Source organism: Homo sapiens, chromosome 9 (genome assembly GCF_000001405.40).
Source record: "Homo sapiens chromosome 9, GRCh38.p14 Primary Assembly".
In the NCBI taxonomy this organism is placed as follows: domain Eukaryota; kingdom Metazoa; phylum Chordata; class Mammalia; order Primates; family Hominidae; genus Homo; species Homo sapiens.
In genome coordinates, this window is record NC_000009.12 from 34,525,736 (window position 1) to 34,542,418 (window position 16,683).

Genomic DNA, 16,683 nt, shown 5'->3' on the forward strand with positions numbered 1-16,683 from the left:
TTTGCCTCCTTTCCAGTGAAGAACAATTCAGTGACACATCCAGCTGCTGCTTCTGGAGATCATAGCACAGATCAGGACCACTGTTCTTCAGATATAGGTTCTCCAGGTAATGTCCCTTCATGCTCTAGTGAGGTCTCCATGAGGTATGAAATGTGGCTTCTAATAATCCCACTACCTTTTAACTGCCTTTGAACTATCTTTAAACTACTCCCCCTATGAAAAAGTCCTGATATGTAGAGATACAAGAAATAGAGAATAAAATGGGGTGAAAAGGAAGCACTGTGCATTGGTCACTAATCCAGAACATCATCTACTGTAGATGTTTTTGGCCATGAGTAATAATGAAATGATAGGACTAGCAAATCTCATGGCATCTGTTTGTTGACTTGCTCCTTTGGCTGTGGAGTTCCTTGGTCGGCCAATCTGGCTGCCTTAATTTTTGCCCACAAGGTAGAGATCCCTTATCCAGTGTTTTGAGAGGGTCATTATGGAGGATTTCTCTGTGCGGCACTGTACTGATTAGCACTACACCTTCTGGTGGTGTTTTACAGATTATCCTGGGATTGAACAACCACAGAGCTCTACACTTAGGAGGATTGGATAAGGGCTTTTCCCTCAATAGATTATGCAATTATTTTAAAACCATAATCAGCTGCCTATCAATTTCATTTGGAGAAATTCCATCTGCTAATAACATGTTTGATTGGTTCTAAGGTGTACTTTTTTCCCCCAGTTTAAACAAATATGTAATCAGAATGTGTCTTACAATTAATAGCATGTAATCATTTTTTCACCTCTTATTTTTTTTTCTTTTTTCTTTTTTTTATTATTATACTTTAAGTTTTAGGGTACATGTGCACAATGTGCAGGTTTGTTACACATGTATACATGTGCCATGTTGGTGTGCTGCACCCATTAACTTGTCATTTACATTAGGTATGTCTCCTAATGCTATCCCTCCCCCCTCCCCCCACCCCACAACAGGCCCCGGTGTGTGATGTTCCCCTTCCTGTGTCCAAGTGTTCTCATTGTTCAGTTCCCACCTATGAGTGAGAACATGTGGTCTTTGGTTTTTTGTTCTTGCGATAGTTTGCTGAGAATGATGGTTTCCAGCTTCATCCATGTCCCTACAAAGGACATGAACTCATCATTTTTTATGGCTGCATAGTATTCCATGGTGTATATGTGCCACATTTGCTTAATCCAGTCTATCATTGTTGGACATTTGGGTTGGTTCCAGGTCTTTGCTATTGTGAATAGTGCCACAATAAACATACGTGTGCATGTGTCTTTATAGCAGCATGATTTATAATCCTTTGGGTATATACCCAGTAATGGGATGGCTGGGTCAAATGGTATTTCTAGTTCTAGATCCCTGAGGAATCACCACACTGTCTTCCACAATGGTTGAACCAGTTTCCAGTCCCACCAACAGTGTAAAAGTGTTCCTATTTCTCCACATCCTCTCCAGCACCTGTTGTTTCCTGACTTTTTAATGATCGCCATTCTAACTGGTGTGAGATGGTATCTCATTGTGGTTTTGATTTGCATTTCTCTGATGGCCAGTGATGATGAGCATTTTCTCATGTGTCTGTTGGCTGCATAAATGTCTTCTTTTGAGAAGTGTCTGTTCATATCCTTCACCCACTTGTTGAGGGGGTTTTTTCTTGTAAATTTGTTTGAGTTCTTTGTTGATTCTGGATATTAGCCCTTTGTCAGAGGAGTAGATTGCAAAAATTTTATCCCATTCTATAGGTTGCCTGTTCACTCTGATGTTAGTTTCTTTTGCTGTGCAGAAGCTCTTTAGTTTAGTTAGATCCCATTTGTCAATTTTGGCTTTTGTGGCCATTGCTTTTGGTGTTTTAGACATGAAGTCCTTACCCATGCCTATGTCCTGAATGGTATTGCCTAGGTTTTCTTCTAGGGTTTTTATGGTTTTAGGTCTAACATTTAAGTCTTTAATCCATCTTGAATTAATTTTTGTATAAGGTGTAAGGAAGGGATCCAGTTTCAGCTTTCTACATATGGCTAGCCAGTTTTCCTAGCACCATTGGTTAAATAGGGAATCCTTTCCCCATTTCTTGTTTTTGTCAGGTTTGTCAAAGATCAGATAGTTGTAGATGTATGGTATTATTTCTGAGGGCTCTGTTCTGTTCCATTGGTCTATATCTCTGTTTTGGTACCAGTACCATGCTGTTTTGGTTACTGTAGCCTTGTAGTATAGTTTGAAGTCAGGTAGCGTGATGCCTCCAGCTTTGTTCTTTTGGCTTAGGATTGACTTGGCAATGCGGGCTCTTTTTGGTTCCATATGAACTTTAAAGTAGTTTTTTCCAATTCTGTGAAGAAAGTCATTGGTAGCTTGATGGGGATGGCATTGAATCTATAAATTACCTTGGGCAGTATGGCCATTTTCACAATATTGATTCTTCCTATCCATGAGCATGGAATGTTCTTCCATTTGTTTGTATCCTCTTTTATTTCGTTGAGCAGTGGTTTGTAGTTCTCCTTGAAGAGGTCCTTCACATCCCTTGTAAGTTGGATTCCTAGGTATTTTATTCTCTTTGAAGATATTGTGAATGGGAGTTCACTCATGATTTGGCTCTCTGCCTGTCTGTTATTGGTGTATAAGAATGCTTGTGATTTTTGCACATTGATTTTGTATCCTGAGACTTTGCTGAAGTTGCTTATCAGCTTAAGGAGATTTTGGGCTGAGACGATGGGGTTTTCTAGATATACAATCATGTCATCTGCAAACAGGGACAATTGGACTTCCCCTTTTCCTAATTGAATACTGTTTATTTCTTTCTCCTGCCTGATTGCCCTGGCCAGAACTTCCAACACTATGTGGAATAGGAGTGGTGAGAGAGGGCATCCCTGTCTTGTGCCAGTTTTCAAAGGGAATGCTTCCAGTTTTTGCCCATTCAGTATGATATTGGCTGTGGGTTTGTCATAGATAGCTCTTATTATTTTGAGATACGTCCCATCAGTACCAAATTTATTGAGAGTTTTTAGCATGAAGGGCTGTTGAATTTTGTCAAAGGCCTTTTCTGCATCTGTTGAGATAATCATGTGGTTTTTGTCATTGGTTCTGTTTATATGCTGGATTACATTTATTGATTTGCGTATGTTGAACCAGCCTTGCATCCCAGAGATGAAGCCCACTTGATCATGGTGGATAAGCTTTTTGATGTGCTGCTGGATTTGGTTTGCCAGTATTTTATTGAGGATTTTTGCATCGATGTTCATCAAGGATATTGGTCTAAAATTATCTTTTTTTGTTGTGTCTCTGCCAGGCTTTGGTATCAGGATGATGCTGGCCTCATAAAATGAGTTAGGAAGGATTCCCTCTTTTTCTATTGATTGGAATGGTTTCAGAACGAATAGTACCAGCTCCTCCTTGTACCTCTGGTAGAATTTGGCTGTGAATCTGTCTGGTCCTGGACTTTTTTTGGTTGGTAAGCTATTAATTATTGCCTCAATTTCAGAGCCTGTTATTGGTCTATTCAGAGATTCAACTTCTTCCTGGTTTAGTCTTGGGAGAGTGTATGTGTCCAGAAATTTATCCATTTCTTCTAGATTTTCTAGTTTATTTGCGTAGGTGTGTTTATAGTATTCTCTGATGGTAGTTTGTATTTCTGTGGGATCGGTGGTGATATCCCCTTTATCATTTTTTATTGTGTCTATTTGATTCTTCTCTTTTTTCTTCTTTATTAGTCTTGCTAGCGGTCTATCAATTTTGTTGATCTTTTCAAAAAACCAGCTCCTGGATTCATTGATTTTTTGAAGGGCTTTTTGTGTCTCTATCTCCTTCAGTTCTGCTCTGATCTTAGTTATTTCTTGCCTTCTGCTAGCTTTTGAACGTGTTTGCTCTTGCTTCTCTAGTTCTTTTAATTGTGATGTTAAGGTGTCAATTTTAGATCTTTCCTGCTTTCTCTTGTGGGCATTTAGTGCTATAAATTTCCCTCTACACATTGCTTTAAATGTGTCCCAGAGATTCTGGTATGTTGGGTCTTTGTTCTCATTGATTTCAAAAAACATCTTTATTTCTGCCTTCATTTCATTATGTACCCAGTAGTCATTCAGGAGCAGGTTGTTCAGTTTCCATGTAGTTGAGTGGTTTTGAGTGAGTTTCTTAATCCTGAGTTCTAGTTTGACTGCACCGTGGTCTGAGAGACAGTTTGTTATAATTTCTGTTCTTTTACATTTGCTGAGGAGTGCTTTACTTCCAACTATGTGATCAATTTTGGAGTAAGTGCAATGTGGTGCTGAGAAGAATGTATACTCTGTTGATTTGGGGTGGAGAGTTCTGTAGATGTCTATTAGGTCCGGTTGGTGCAGAGCTGAGTTCAATCCCTGGATATCCTTGTTAACTTTCTGTCTCGTTGATCTGTCTGATGTTGACAGTGGGGTGTTAAAGTCTCCCATTATTATTGTGTGGGGGAGTCTAAGTCTCTTTGTAGTCTCTAAGGACTTGCTTTATGAATCTGGGTGCTCCTGTATTGGGTGCATATATATTTAAGATAGTTAGCTCTTCTTGTTGAATTGATCCCTTTACCATTATGTAATGGCCTTGTCTCTTTTCATCTTTGTTGGTTTAAAGTCTGTTTTATCAGAGACTAGGATTGTAACCCCTGCCTTTTTTTATTTTCCATTTGCTTGGTAGATCTTCCTCCATCCCTTTATTTTGAGCCTATTTGTGTCTCTGCACATGAGATGGGTTTCCTGAATACAGCACATTGATGGGTCTTGACTCTTTATGCAATTTGCCAGTCTGTGTCTTTTAATTGGAGCATTTAGCCCATTTACATTTAAGGTTAATATTGTTATGTGTGAATTTGATCCTGTCATTATGATGTTAGCTGGTTATTTTGCTTGTTAGTTGATGCAGTTTCTTCCTAGCATTGATGGTCTTTACAATTTGGCATGTTTTTACAGTGGCTGGTACCGGTTGTTCCTTTCCATGTTTAGTGCTTCCTTTAGAAGCTCTTGTAGGGCAGGCCTGGTGGTGACAAAATCTCTCAGCATTTGCTTGTCTGTAAAGTATTTTATTTCTCCTTCACTTATGAAGCTTAGTTTGGCTGGATATGAAATTCTGGGTTGAAAATTCTTTTCTTTAAGAATGTTGAATATTGGCCCCCACTCTCTTCTGGCTTGTAGAGTTTCTGCCGAGAGATCCGCTGTTAGTCTGATGGGCTTCCCTTTGTGGGTAACCCGACCTTTCTCTCTGGCTGCCCTTAACATTTTTTCCTTCATTTCAACTTTGGTGAATCTGACAATTATGTGTCTTGGAGTTGCTCTTCTCGAGGAGTATCTTTGTGGCGTTCTCTGTATTTCCTGAATTTGAATGTTGGTTTGCCTTACTAGATTGGGGAAGTTCTCCTGGATAATATCCTGCAGAGTGTTTTCCAACTTGGTTCCATTCTCCCCGTCACGTTCATGTACACCAATCAGACGTAAATTTGGTCTTTTCACATAGTCCTATATTTCTTGGAGGCTTTGTTCATTTCTTTTTATTCTTTTTTCCCTAAACTTCTCTTCTCGCTTCATTTCATTCATTTGATCTTCCATCACTGATACCCTTTCTTCCAGTTGATCAAATCGGCTAATGAAGCTTGTGCATTTGCCATGTAGTTCTTGTGCCATGATTTTCAGCTCCATCAGGTCCTTTAAGGACTTCTCTGCATTGGTTATTCTAGTTAGCCATTCGTCTAATCTTTTTTCAAGGTTTTTAACTTCTTTGTGTTGGGTTCGAACTTCCTCCTTTAGCTCGGAGAAGTTTGATCGTCTGTAGCCTTCTTCTCTCAACTCATCAAAGTCATTTTCCATCCAGCTTTGTTCCATTGTTGGTGAGGAGCTGCATTCCTTTGGAGGAGGAGAGGTGCTCTCATTTTTAGAATTTTCAGTTTTTCTGCTCTGTTTTTTCCCCATCTTTGTGGTTTTATCTACCTTTGGTCTTTGATGATGGTGACATACAGATGGGGTTTTGATGTGGATGCCCTTTCTGTTTGTTAGTTTTCCTTCTAACAGTCAGGACCCTCAGCTGCATGTCTGTTGGAGTTTGCTGGAGGTCCACTCCAGACCCTGTTTGCCTGGGTATCAGCAGCGGAGGCTGCAGAACAGCGAATATTGCTGAACAGCGATTATTGGTGAACAGCAAGTGTTGCTGCCTGATCGTTCCTCTGGAAGTTTCGTCTCAGAGGGGTACCCGGCCGTATGAGGTGTCAGTCTGCCCCTACTGATGGGTGCCTCCCAGTTAGGCTACTTGGGGGTCAGGGACCCACTTGAGGAGGCAGTCTATCTGTTCTCAGATCTCAAGCTCTGTGCTGGGAGAACCACTACTCTCTTCAAAGCTGTCAGACAGGGACATTTAAGTCTGCAGAGGTTTCTGCTGCCTTTTGTTCGGCTATGCCCTGCCCCCAGAGGTGGAGTCTACAGAGGCAGGCAGGCCTCCTTGAGCTGCGGTGGGCTCCACCCAGTTCAAGCTTCCCTTCCTGGAAGCTTTGTTTACCTACTCAAGCCTCAGCAATGGCGGGCGCCCCTCCCCCAGCCTGGCTGCTGCATTGCAGTTTGATCTCAGACTGCTGTGCTAGCAATGAGTGAGGCTCTGTGGGCATAGGACCCTCTGAGCCAGGCACGGGATATAATCTCCTGGTGTGCCGTTTGCTAAGACCGTCTGAAAAGCGCAGTATTAGGGTGGGAGTGACCCGATTTTCCAGGTGCCGTTTGTCCCCTCTTCCCTTGGCTAGGAAAGGGAATTCCCTGACCCCTTGCACTTCCCGGGTGAGACGATGCCTTGCCCTGCTTTGGCTCACGCTCGGTGCGCTGCACCCACTGTCCTGCACCCACTGTCCGAAAATCCCCAGTGAGAGGAACCCAGTACCTTAGTTGGAAATGCAGAGATCATGCGTCTTCTGCATCGCTCACACTGGGAGCTGTAGACTGGAGCTGTTCCTATTCGGCCATCTTCCTTTTTTCTTTTATTTATTTATTTATTTTTGAGACAGAGTCTCACTCTGTCTCCCAGGCTGGAGTGCAGTGGCACAATCTCAGCTCATCACAACCTCTGCCTCCTGTGTTTAAGTGATTCTCCTGCCTCAGCCTCCTGAGTAGCTGGGACTACAGGCGTGCACCACCACGCCTGGCTAGTTTTTGTATTTTTTAGTAGAGACAGGGTTTCACCATGCCGGCGAGGCTGGTTTCGAACTCCTGATCCGCCTGCTTCGGCTTCCACAGTGCTGCTATTACAGGCAGGAGCCACTACACCCAGCCCTCTTTTTTCATAGTCGTTTATAAAATAACTTGCCTCTTATAATCAATGGAATCTGAGATTGTTAAGTATAGTAATTTTATCAGTCAGGGTTCTTTTTCACAAATAATAGAATCCATTCTGGATAAAGCAGAAAAAGGATTTGTTAGAAAAGATTATTTAGCTCAAAACTGTTAGGAGGGCTGGGGAAATGGACTTGAGGCTAAGATCCTAGAACAACACCCAAATCATACCACACACCTGATGGGGAAACCACAGCCATTTCCACTCCGAATACTAAGTACCAAGAGTTCAATTTGACTGCCAATTTTACAAGCTCTATGGCCCTTCTGTGATAGGAACTCAATATTGCAACCACTGGGAAACCACTGCTGTTGCCGCTACCACCCCCAAAAGCTGGACACTTGTGTTACTACCGGCAACAGCAGAAATCGAAGCTCTGTGTCTAACCTGCTTCCTACCTATATCAATCAGGATTGGCTAGGTAACACAGTAGTTACAAACAACCTTCAAATCTTACTGACTTAAAACAAGAAAAAATGTATTGCTTCTTCATGCTATAGTTCCAGCATGGGGCAGGGTGGGAGGTGGGGTGGAGAAGTCTGGCTCACTGCGGCCACTCAAGCATCCAGGCTGCTGGAGGCTCCACCATCTTGTGATGATGCTGCCTTCTTGACCTTCCTGACATGAGCTTTCAGGGTTTGCTGTGGCAGGAGAAAAAAGTGAGGAGAAGCATACACTGGCTTCTGCTCACATTGCCTTGATCAAAAGAAACCTCACAGCCATACCTGACATCAAGGGACAGGAGAAGTACAGTCTTTCTGGTACTCAGAAGGAGAGGAGACCCAGAAATATTGGTGAAGTTTAGTGTTTCCCTCACTCATTTTTCTCACTTCCAAATGGAAGTCTCATGTGGGTGAAGTATCATCCCTGTAAACAATTGTATGTGGTGAATTTCAATTCTGACTTACTATACTGAGTAGGCTGGATTTTGAAATGGGAATTTTCCCATATTAAAAAAACTGTATGAAAGGTGAAGGACATCCATGAATACATTTCTACTACCATAATCAATACCAGAATTTTACAGAATCATGCTTCTAGAATCTCTAGGTTTACCAAGATGATTCACGGCCTGAGCACACTTTTGGAGCAATTTCTCTTTTTTAGCTCTATGTCTGGGTCTTTTTCAGTCCATCTGACTATGGCTTGTGGCTTCATAGGAAATCGTAGGCTGGACTAGAAGGGCTGGGATCCTTTCTTCTTCCACCTGCCCTGGAATGATGCCCTTGCTTCGCCCCATTCCAGTCAATGCACTTTACAATGGGAGGCACCATCACATTTGCCTGGCAAGGTGGGGAGAAGAAGGGCTTTCCAATGCCGAATCTTCCAGTGTAAGTCATGATTGCTAGGCTCTCACAGTTTCCTAATCAGGGTATTAACATTAGAGAGCAGCAAATAACCCAGCTCCTGAAATTCAGCAAGGCACATAATTATCTTACTCCTAGTAATCTGAGGTCAAGGCTGAAACAAATTTCCTTACCCAAGTAAAATGCTTACTCTCTTGCCCCCTAACTGTGCACAGACCACCCATTTTGAATAACTCATTTTTGTTGTCTTGACTTTTTATCACCATATTTTCTCTTTGTTTTTTGTTTTGTTTTGTTTTGTTTTTGAGACAGTCTCACTTTGTCACCCAAGCTGGAGTGCAGTGGGGCGATCTCGGCTCGCTGCAACCTCTGCCTCCCGGGTTCAAGCAATTCTTCTGCCTCAGCCCTCCCAAGTAGCTGGGATTATAGGTGCCCGCCAACACGCCAGGCTAATTTTTAAATTTTTAGTAGAGGCAGGGTTTCAACATATTGGCCAGGCTGGTCTGGAACTCCTGACCTCAAGTCATCCACCTGTCTTGGCCTCCAAAAGTGCTGGGATTACAGGCGTGAGCCACTGCACCCGGCCTATTACCATATTTTCAAGTGCTTCAGCTTCAGTCAGCATATGAGCTAAGACATAAGAGACAACAGGTGCTAGTTCAACTAATTGCTTTGCTATGACATAAAAAGGACTTCCGGGTTCCCAGGCTGGGATTAGGAGATTCTTACTGCCCCTCTACACACCTCGACTTAGTTCCTCACTTTAAGTTCTATCATTTAGAATACTTTGGTCCTGATACCTGATTTCCTAACTTGAACTAGTTTAGGCAAAGGGGGCATTTATTTTCAGAAAACTATATTGTTTCATAGAGTCCTAGTGCAAGAATATGGCTGGAACTTGGGAACAACTGGATCTGGCAATCTGAATGTCATCAGGACTCTCTACTGCTCATCTACGTGCCTTTCTGCTTGCTTCCTCTCTCTCCCTCTCTCTTTGTCTGTCCTTCTCTCTCTCCCTCTCGATCTCTCCCTCCTTCCCTCTTTTCCTTCATCCTTCAACCTCCCTCTCTAGTCTACATAATAATAAACCCAGCTCCTGACAATTATCAAACTTTGCAGCTTACAACCCAGGTACCCAAGAAGATGTTGGCTCTTTTTCAGTTCCAGCTCCAGCTTATCCTTCTAAGTTTCAGTTCCATAATTCCTCATGACTTGCTCTCATCAGCCCGGCTTTGGACAGATGCCATTCCCTGCACCAGTAATCTGTTGAGGAGGTCATAAGGCCAGGGCTTCCATGATAACCACAAGAATGGTTCCCACCAGAAGGGGATGCCTTCCAGACATCACATAAAGGAGTCCACCATGCTAACTTTTATGGATGCAGGGTAAAGATAAATCTGCAAAGTAGATAAGGAAGGATATGTCAGAGATGCAGAAGGAAAACTGGGGGAGACCATAATTTTAGGGAAGCCAAGAAAGGACAGAGGTTCGAGAAGGAAGGAAGGGGTCACTACTCCAAAATTTCAAAGACAGTTGAGGTTATTGTAGAAAAGGGACCGTGGGACTTAAGAATAAGGAGGTTCTTGATTATCCTGACAAGGAGTAGTTCCAGTGGGCAGTAGGAAATGGAAATGGGGTATGTAGTGAAAGCCAGAGTTTAGTGGTTTCCAGAGTGAGTAAGAGGTAGATATAGGCTGGGAGCCGTGGCTCATGCCTGTAATCCTAGCACTTTGGAAGGCTGAGGTTGGAGGATCACTTGAGGCCAGGAGTTTGAGACCAGCCTGGGTAACATAGCAAGAACCTGACTCTGCAAAAAATATATATATATAAAAATTAGCCAGGCGTGGTGGTGCACACCTGTAATCCCAGCTACCCAGAAAGCTGATGAGGGAGGATTGCCTGAGCCTAGGAGTTGGTGACTGCAGTGAGCCATGATCATGCCACTGAACTCCAGCCTGGGTGACAGAGTGAGACTCTGTCTAAAAAAAAAAAAAGAAAGAAAGTAGATACAACATAGACGATTCTTTCAAGAGAATTGACTGATTGACTGTGAAAATTAGAAGGAAGGAGAATAGATCAGAAAGACATAGAGTCAGAGGAAGTTTTTTTATTTTAAATAATTTCTTACATGTTTCTGACATGGAATGTTTAAATACTGGTGGGATGGAATCATGAGAAAAGATATAATTGATGATAGCTATTTTTGTTAGCTATCTCCCATCTCCCCTGGGCTGGAAGGGCCAGGAACAGGAGATAAGGCCCAGGCTAAAGGTGTGAACCATTTCAACTTTTTTCCCAAGCCACATTGGAAAGTAGGGCAAAGAGAAGAGGTGCCTGTCCTCAGCACTGGATGAGCCAGGTTGGGGACCAGGGCACACCCAGGGGCCTGGGATCGTGTGGAGAACAAATGGTCCCAAGGCTGGAGCCAGTCCTCCGCAGTGGGGGAAGGGTGGGCACAGAGCAGCTACATCCAGTGACAGGCAGACTTGCCACAGGCTCCGATTTCCCCATCTCAAAACCCTGCCTGTCGCTTCCCTGCCCACCTACTACTCAGTGTCCCTGCCTAGCCGCCACCTGTTGTCTCAGCTCCACTTTCCCACCCCCCGTCACTCCCCAGCCGCTGCCCCTGCCTTCTGCTCTCACCATCCCTGAAGCTGGCTCACCAAGGTCACTTTCACCTCCTTGTCACTTCCAGTGAATACCTTTTAGTCCTGATCTATGTTGACTACTTGGCAGCCTTGAGGCTGTTGGTCCTCTTTTGAAACTCTGTCTTCCCGTGTCCTCCATGAAGCTGTTCTCTCTGGGAACATTTATTCCTCCTCCTAAAACAACAACTCCTTTATTAAGCACCTAGTCTCTGTCGGGGTTTTACATTCATTATAGATAATCCTCACCTGGATGCAAGACGGGTCCATGAGACAGATGAGGAAACTGAGGCTCAAGGTGGTCAAGGGGTTTTTCTAAGGCCCCATGGCAGCAGGTGATAGAGCCTGGATTAGAACCGAAATTTGCTGCACTGCCTTCAACTCCAGCTTGTTGTCTCCCTTACCTCTTGGGCCCCTCCTCGGCTTCTTTGGTGGGCTGTGCTCTCAGCCCCCACCCTCTTCTCCTCACAACTCAAGTGAGCACCTCTGTGTCTGTGGCTTCCATGCCCATTTTTCTTTTTTCTTTTTCTTTCTTTTTTTTTTTTATTTGAGACGGAGTCTCGCTCTGTTGCCCAGGCTGGAGTGCAGTGGCGGGATCTGGGCTCAACCTCCACCTTGGCGGCAACCTCTGCCTCCCAGGTTCAAGCAATTCTTGTGCCTCAGCCTCCCGAGTAGCTGGGATTACAGGCGTGCACCACCACCCCTGGCTAATTTTTGTATTTTTAGTAGAGTCGGGGTTTTACCATGTTGGCCAGGCTGGTCTCAAACTCCTGATCTCAAGTTATCAGCCTGCCTCGGCCTCCCAAAGTGCTGGGACTACAGGTGTGAGCCACTGTGCCCAGCCAGTGCCCATTTTTGTGCTGACAATGCTTTCATACTAACCCAGACCTTACTCCCAAGTCCCAGACTGGTATGCGTTGTTGTTGTGGCTGCTGCTATTGTCATTAAGAACTAAGATTCATGGAGTGTTTATAACATGGCAGGTACCACGCCAGTTTCTTTATATACATTAAATCCTTACAACGGCTGGGCATGGTGGCTCACGCCTGTAATCCCAGCACTGTGGGAGGACAAGGCGAGCAGCTTGAGCCCAGGAGTTTGAGATCAGCCTGGGCAACATGGCAAAATCCCGTCTCTACAAAAAATACAAATATTAGCCAGGCGTGATGGCACACACTTGTAGTCCCAGCTACTTGGGAGGCTGAGGTGGGAGGATCCCTTGAGTCTGGGAGGCGGAGGTTGCAGTGAGCCAAGATTTCACTGCACTCCAGCCTGGCTAAGAGTGAGACCCTGTCTGAAAAATGAAATAAAATAAAAAATAAAAATCCTTACAACAACCCTATGAGGTAGTTACTATTATCAGATTTTCCACTGAAGGAAACTGAGCATTAAAGAGATTAATCAGGCTGGGCGCCATGGCTCAGGCCTGTAATGCTAGCACTTTGGGAGGCCGAGGTGGGCGGATTGCCTGAGCTCAGGAGTTTGAGACCATCCTGGGCTACATGATGAAACCTCGTCTCTACTAAAAATACAAAAAATTAGCTGGGGGTGGTGGCGCACGCCTGTAATCCCAGCTACTTGGGAAGCTGAGGCACGAGAATTACTTCAAACCAGGAAGTGGAGGTTGCCGTGAGCCAAGATTGCACCATTGCACTCCAGCCTGGGTGACAGAGCGAGAAACTGAAAAAAAAAAAAAAAAAAAAAAGAGATTAATAAACTTGTAAATTTGTCCCAAGGTCAACAGGAGCCTAGGTTTGTCTGACCCCAGAGTCATTCTCTTAACTGCTATGCTGATTCAGTGTCCTCTCCCAAGAGGTCTTACACTTGACATGTCTGCATCTGAACTCATCTGTCCATTGCTTCGTATATGACTATAGGCAAGTGAGTGAATGTCTGAGCCATAGTTGTTCCACTTGCCCAAAGCCTGTCCTCCTCCCATGCTGTTTCAATAAACAGTCCTGCTGCCTCCCAGTCAACAGGAGCTGTACAAGACTCTTCCTTTTCCCTTCCCTCCCAACCACTCACTCATCAAGACATGGCGACTGTGTGCTCTAAAAGCCCCATTCTCCCTGCCCTGGGCCTAGTCCTCTCCTGTCCGGACACAGCAAGAGCTGGCTCTCAGGCCTTTCCTATCATTCAAAGAACCTTCCTTAGGCCTGCTCATTTTCTCAGCCACCATGGGTCCCACATTCTCTTCCCGCCTAGCCCTACTCTGCACAGCCCCCAGAGCAGTCTTTCCAACACACAAAGCTCACCAGGTCTCTCCAGCTCCCTGAACCCCTGATTCTGAGCAAAAGCTCCTGAACCTCAGCCTGGCTTTCAAAGCACAGACTGTGTGGTTCCACCTCCCCTGTAGCCACAGCGCCCACCCAACCCTCTCCTGAGCTCAGGAGCACCTGCACCATTGCGGGTCTTCCTGCCCATCCTTCCTCCCGCTCTGCCCTGCATGGGCAGGGGATGTCCTCTGCCTCTCCACAGTCTCAGCCCCACTCCCCATATGTGTTTTTCTAGTGACACTGCCCAGTGGTAGGCGTGCTAAGGTGTGCAAAATCAGTAATGTCTATTTTATAAAAACTATATGGTTGTGCAGTAACGTGAATGTGTTTAATGCCATAGAACTGCACACATAATAATGGTTAAAATGGTGGCTGGGCATGGTGGCTCACACCTGTAATCCCAGCACTTTTGGAGGCCGAGGCAAGAGGATTGCTTGAGCCCAGGAGTTTGAGACCAGCCTAGGCAACACAGGGAGACCCCATCTCTACAGAAAATTTAAAAATCAGCCGGACATGGTGGTGCATGCCTGTTGGGGACCAGCCTCAACACCACCCGTAGGGTACCTGAAGTCTGGTGGCGACAAAGGATTGAGAAGAGACAAGAGTTGAAAGGTGGGGAGCCCCGGGGGCCAGCTGCAAAATGGAGGCTGCAAAAGGCTCAGTGCTCTGGTCTCCACACTGTTGAGTACGATCACTTAGATCTGAGAAGCAGATGTTCAGGGCGAAACAGTGAAAGGGAGGCTATGCGTCATAGACGTAATCTATAGTAATAGCGGTTTAAATGAATCTCCTTTGTGCTCAAACAGCATATCTTTAACTTATCAGAGAGTAGCTAGTGGGAGTGGCTTAACTAGGAGCCTGCACATCTGTTCACCTTCCAGTGTTTCAAAGGAGTGTCTTTCTCCTTGAACAGTGTTTACAAATAAGAGAGTGTGTCTTGCTCTGAGCAGGGCAACATGATGGCAATTAGGAGGCTTTCCTTCTGAGAGGCCTTTTGTGGCTTTCCACAACTTATTGTCCCATATTTTTATGGCTAGTCTATGCAGGCACCCCATAAGCCTTTTTCCCAACACATGCCTGTAGTCCCAGCTACTCAGGAGGCTGAGGTGGGAGGATTGCTTGAGTCCAGGAGGTTGAGGCTGCAGTGAGCCATGATTGCACCACTGCACTCCATCCTGGGCAACAGAGCGAGGCCCTGTCTCAAAAAAAAAAAAAGGGGGTTAAAATGGTAAAACAAAACTAAATATAAATGCCTCCCTCAGGGTTCTAGTCCCTGGAGCGAGTAGATAGGTCATGATTGGGCCCTCTCCTCACCCCATCTTCCCCAGCTTACAGAGGGCCTGGGTATTTTATGCTGTGATCCCCATGGGCTCTGCTGAGATGCCCCTGTTGGGAGATCAATGTCCAGGAGCCTCCCTTCCTAAGCCCACCCTGCTCCCACTCCTGGGGTACAATTAGGGAGTATTAGTGGGTCCCCCCTGCCCATGCAACCACAGACTCAGTCTTTTAGTGTGTGTGTCGGGGGGTCTGGATTGCTTCACCTCCTCTCCCTTCGCCTTAGCATAGTCCTCTCAAGAAGTTTAGGTTTCCAGAAGGTCAGGGTCAGGAAGATGGCTGTGGTTGACTTCAGCTTTGGGCCTGAGATCCTCCCTACAAGAGACAAGGAGAAAAAAAAAAAAAGCCTGACCAGACCTTCTGCACGAGACAGGAAAGGGAAGATTGTGACTGGAGCAAAACTCAGTTAACATCCTTGTGAGTCATCCTGGCACACCAGCTCCTGCAGCAGGCAGTCCAGCCCCTTGAGGGCAGAAATCAAAAGGTGTCCTTCCCTGCATATGCAGACACACACTGACAAACATGCATACATACAACCCACAAAGCAGAGACACATACATACAAGCAAAGATGTATGTACAGACAAGCCTACCCACAGACACAGGCCTGCACATAAAAACACATCCACACAGAAACACACATGATTACACCAACTACACACATACCACATGGCCGGGAAAACACATGAAGAGATTCACAGGCCTCCATCTCTCCCTTTCTTTCACACACACACACACACACACGCAAAGATAAGCCTACCCAGAGTCACTAGTAGGTGTCAACAAATGTGTTCTAGACCAATGACTAAAGGAAGAAGTCAGAGAAGTCAGAGATAGACACAGATCAGTTTTCTAGAGATTGGAAGAATGTGTGTATATGGAGGAGGACAGACTGGTGGGAGAGAAAGCCAGGTAAACATAGGGAAGGGAGAGATCCTAGCGCCAAGAAAGGAGGGTCTTGGGTAATTATCAGGCGCCAACCTCTCGCCCAGCCCTCCTTGATTCATCTATGCATTAACAGTTACTGAGCTGAGTCCTCTGTTGGGCCCCAGGCCTATCCTCACATATGCACAGCCGGGGAGGAAGAGAGACCTGTCCATGAGGAACTATCACACAGACTGGCATGTGCCACGTTGGGGGATGCACAGCCCAGCCCCACTCTGGGCAGCAGTGGAGGGCAGATGTCAGGGAAACGTGAGTGAAATGTTGAACATGTAGGAGTTGGCTGGATGAAGGGGATGGATGGGGAGGTCACCTTGGGCCAAGGAAACAGGTGTAAACATTCGTTTCCTTTTGCTGCTGTAACAAATTACCATAAATGTAGTGGCTTCAATACAAAAATTAGCCGGGCACCTGTAGTCCCAGCTACTTGGGAGGCTGAGTCAGGAGAATCGCTTGAACCTGGGAGGCGGAGGTTGCAGTGAGCTGAGATCGTGCCACTGCACTCCAGCCAGGGTGACAGAGAGAGACTCAGTCTCAAAAACGAAAACAGAAAAACAAAAAACTACACAGATTTATTTGCTTACAATTGACTGTTCAGAGGTCTGAAATCAGTTTTTGTGGGCTAAAGTCAATGTGTTGGCAGAGCTGGTTCCTTCTGTAGGCTCCAAGAGGAGAATGCATTTCCTTGCCTTTTCAGTATCTAATGGCTGCCTGCATTCCTTGGCTTGTGGACCAGTACTCCATCCTCAAAGCACAGCACTCCAGTCTCTGCTTCCATCATTCCACTGCTGTCTTCCCTGACTCCTCCTGCCTCCCTCTCTCCTGTTGGAATCATTGCGATTATATCAC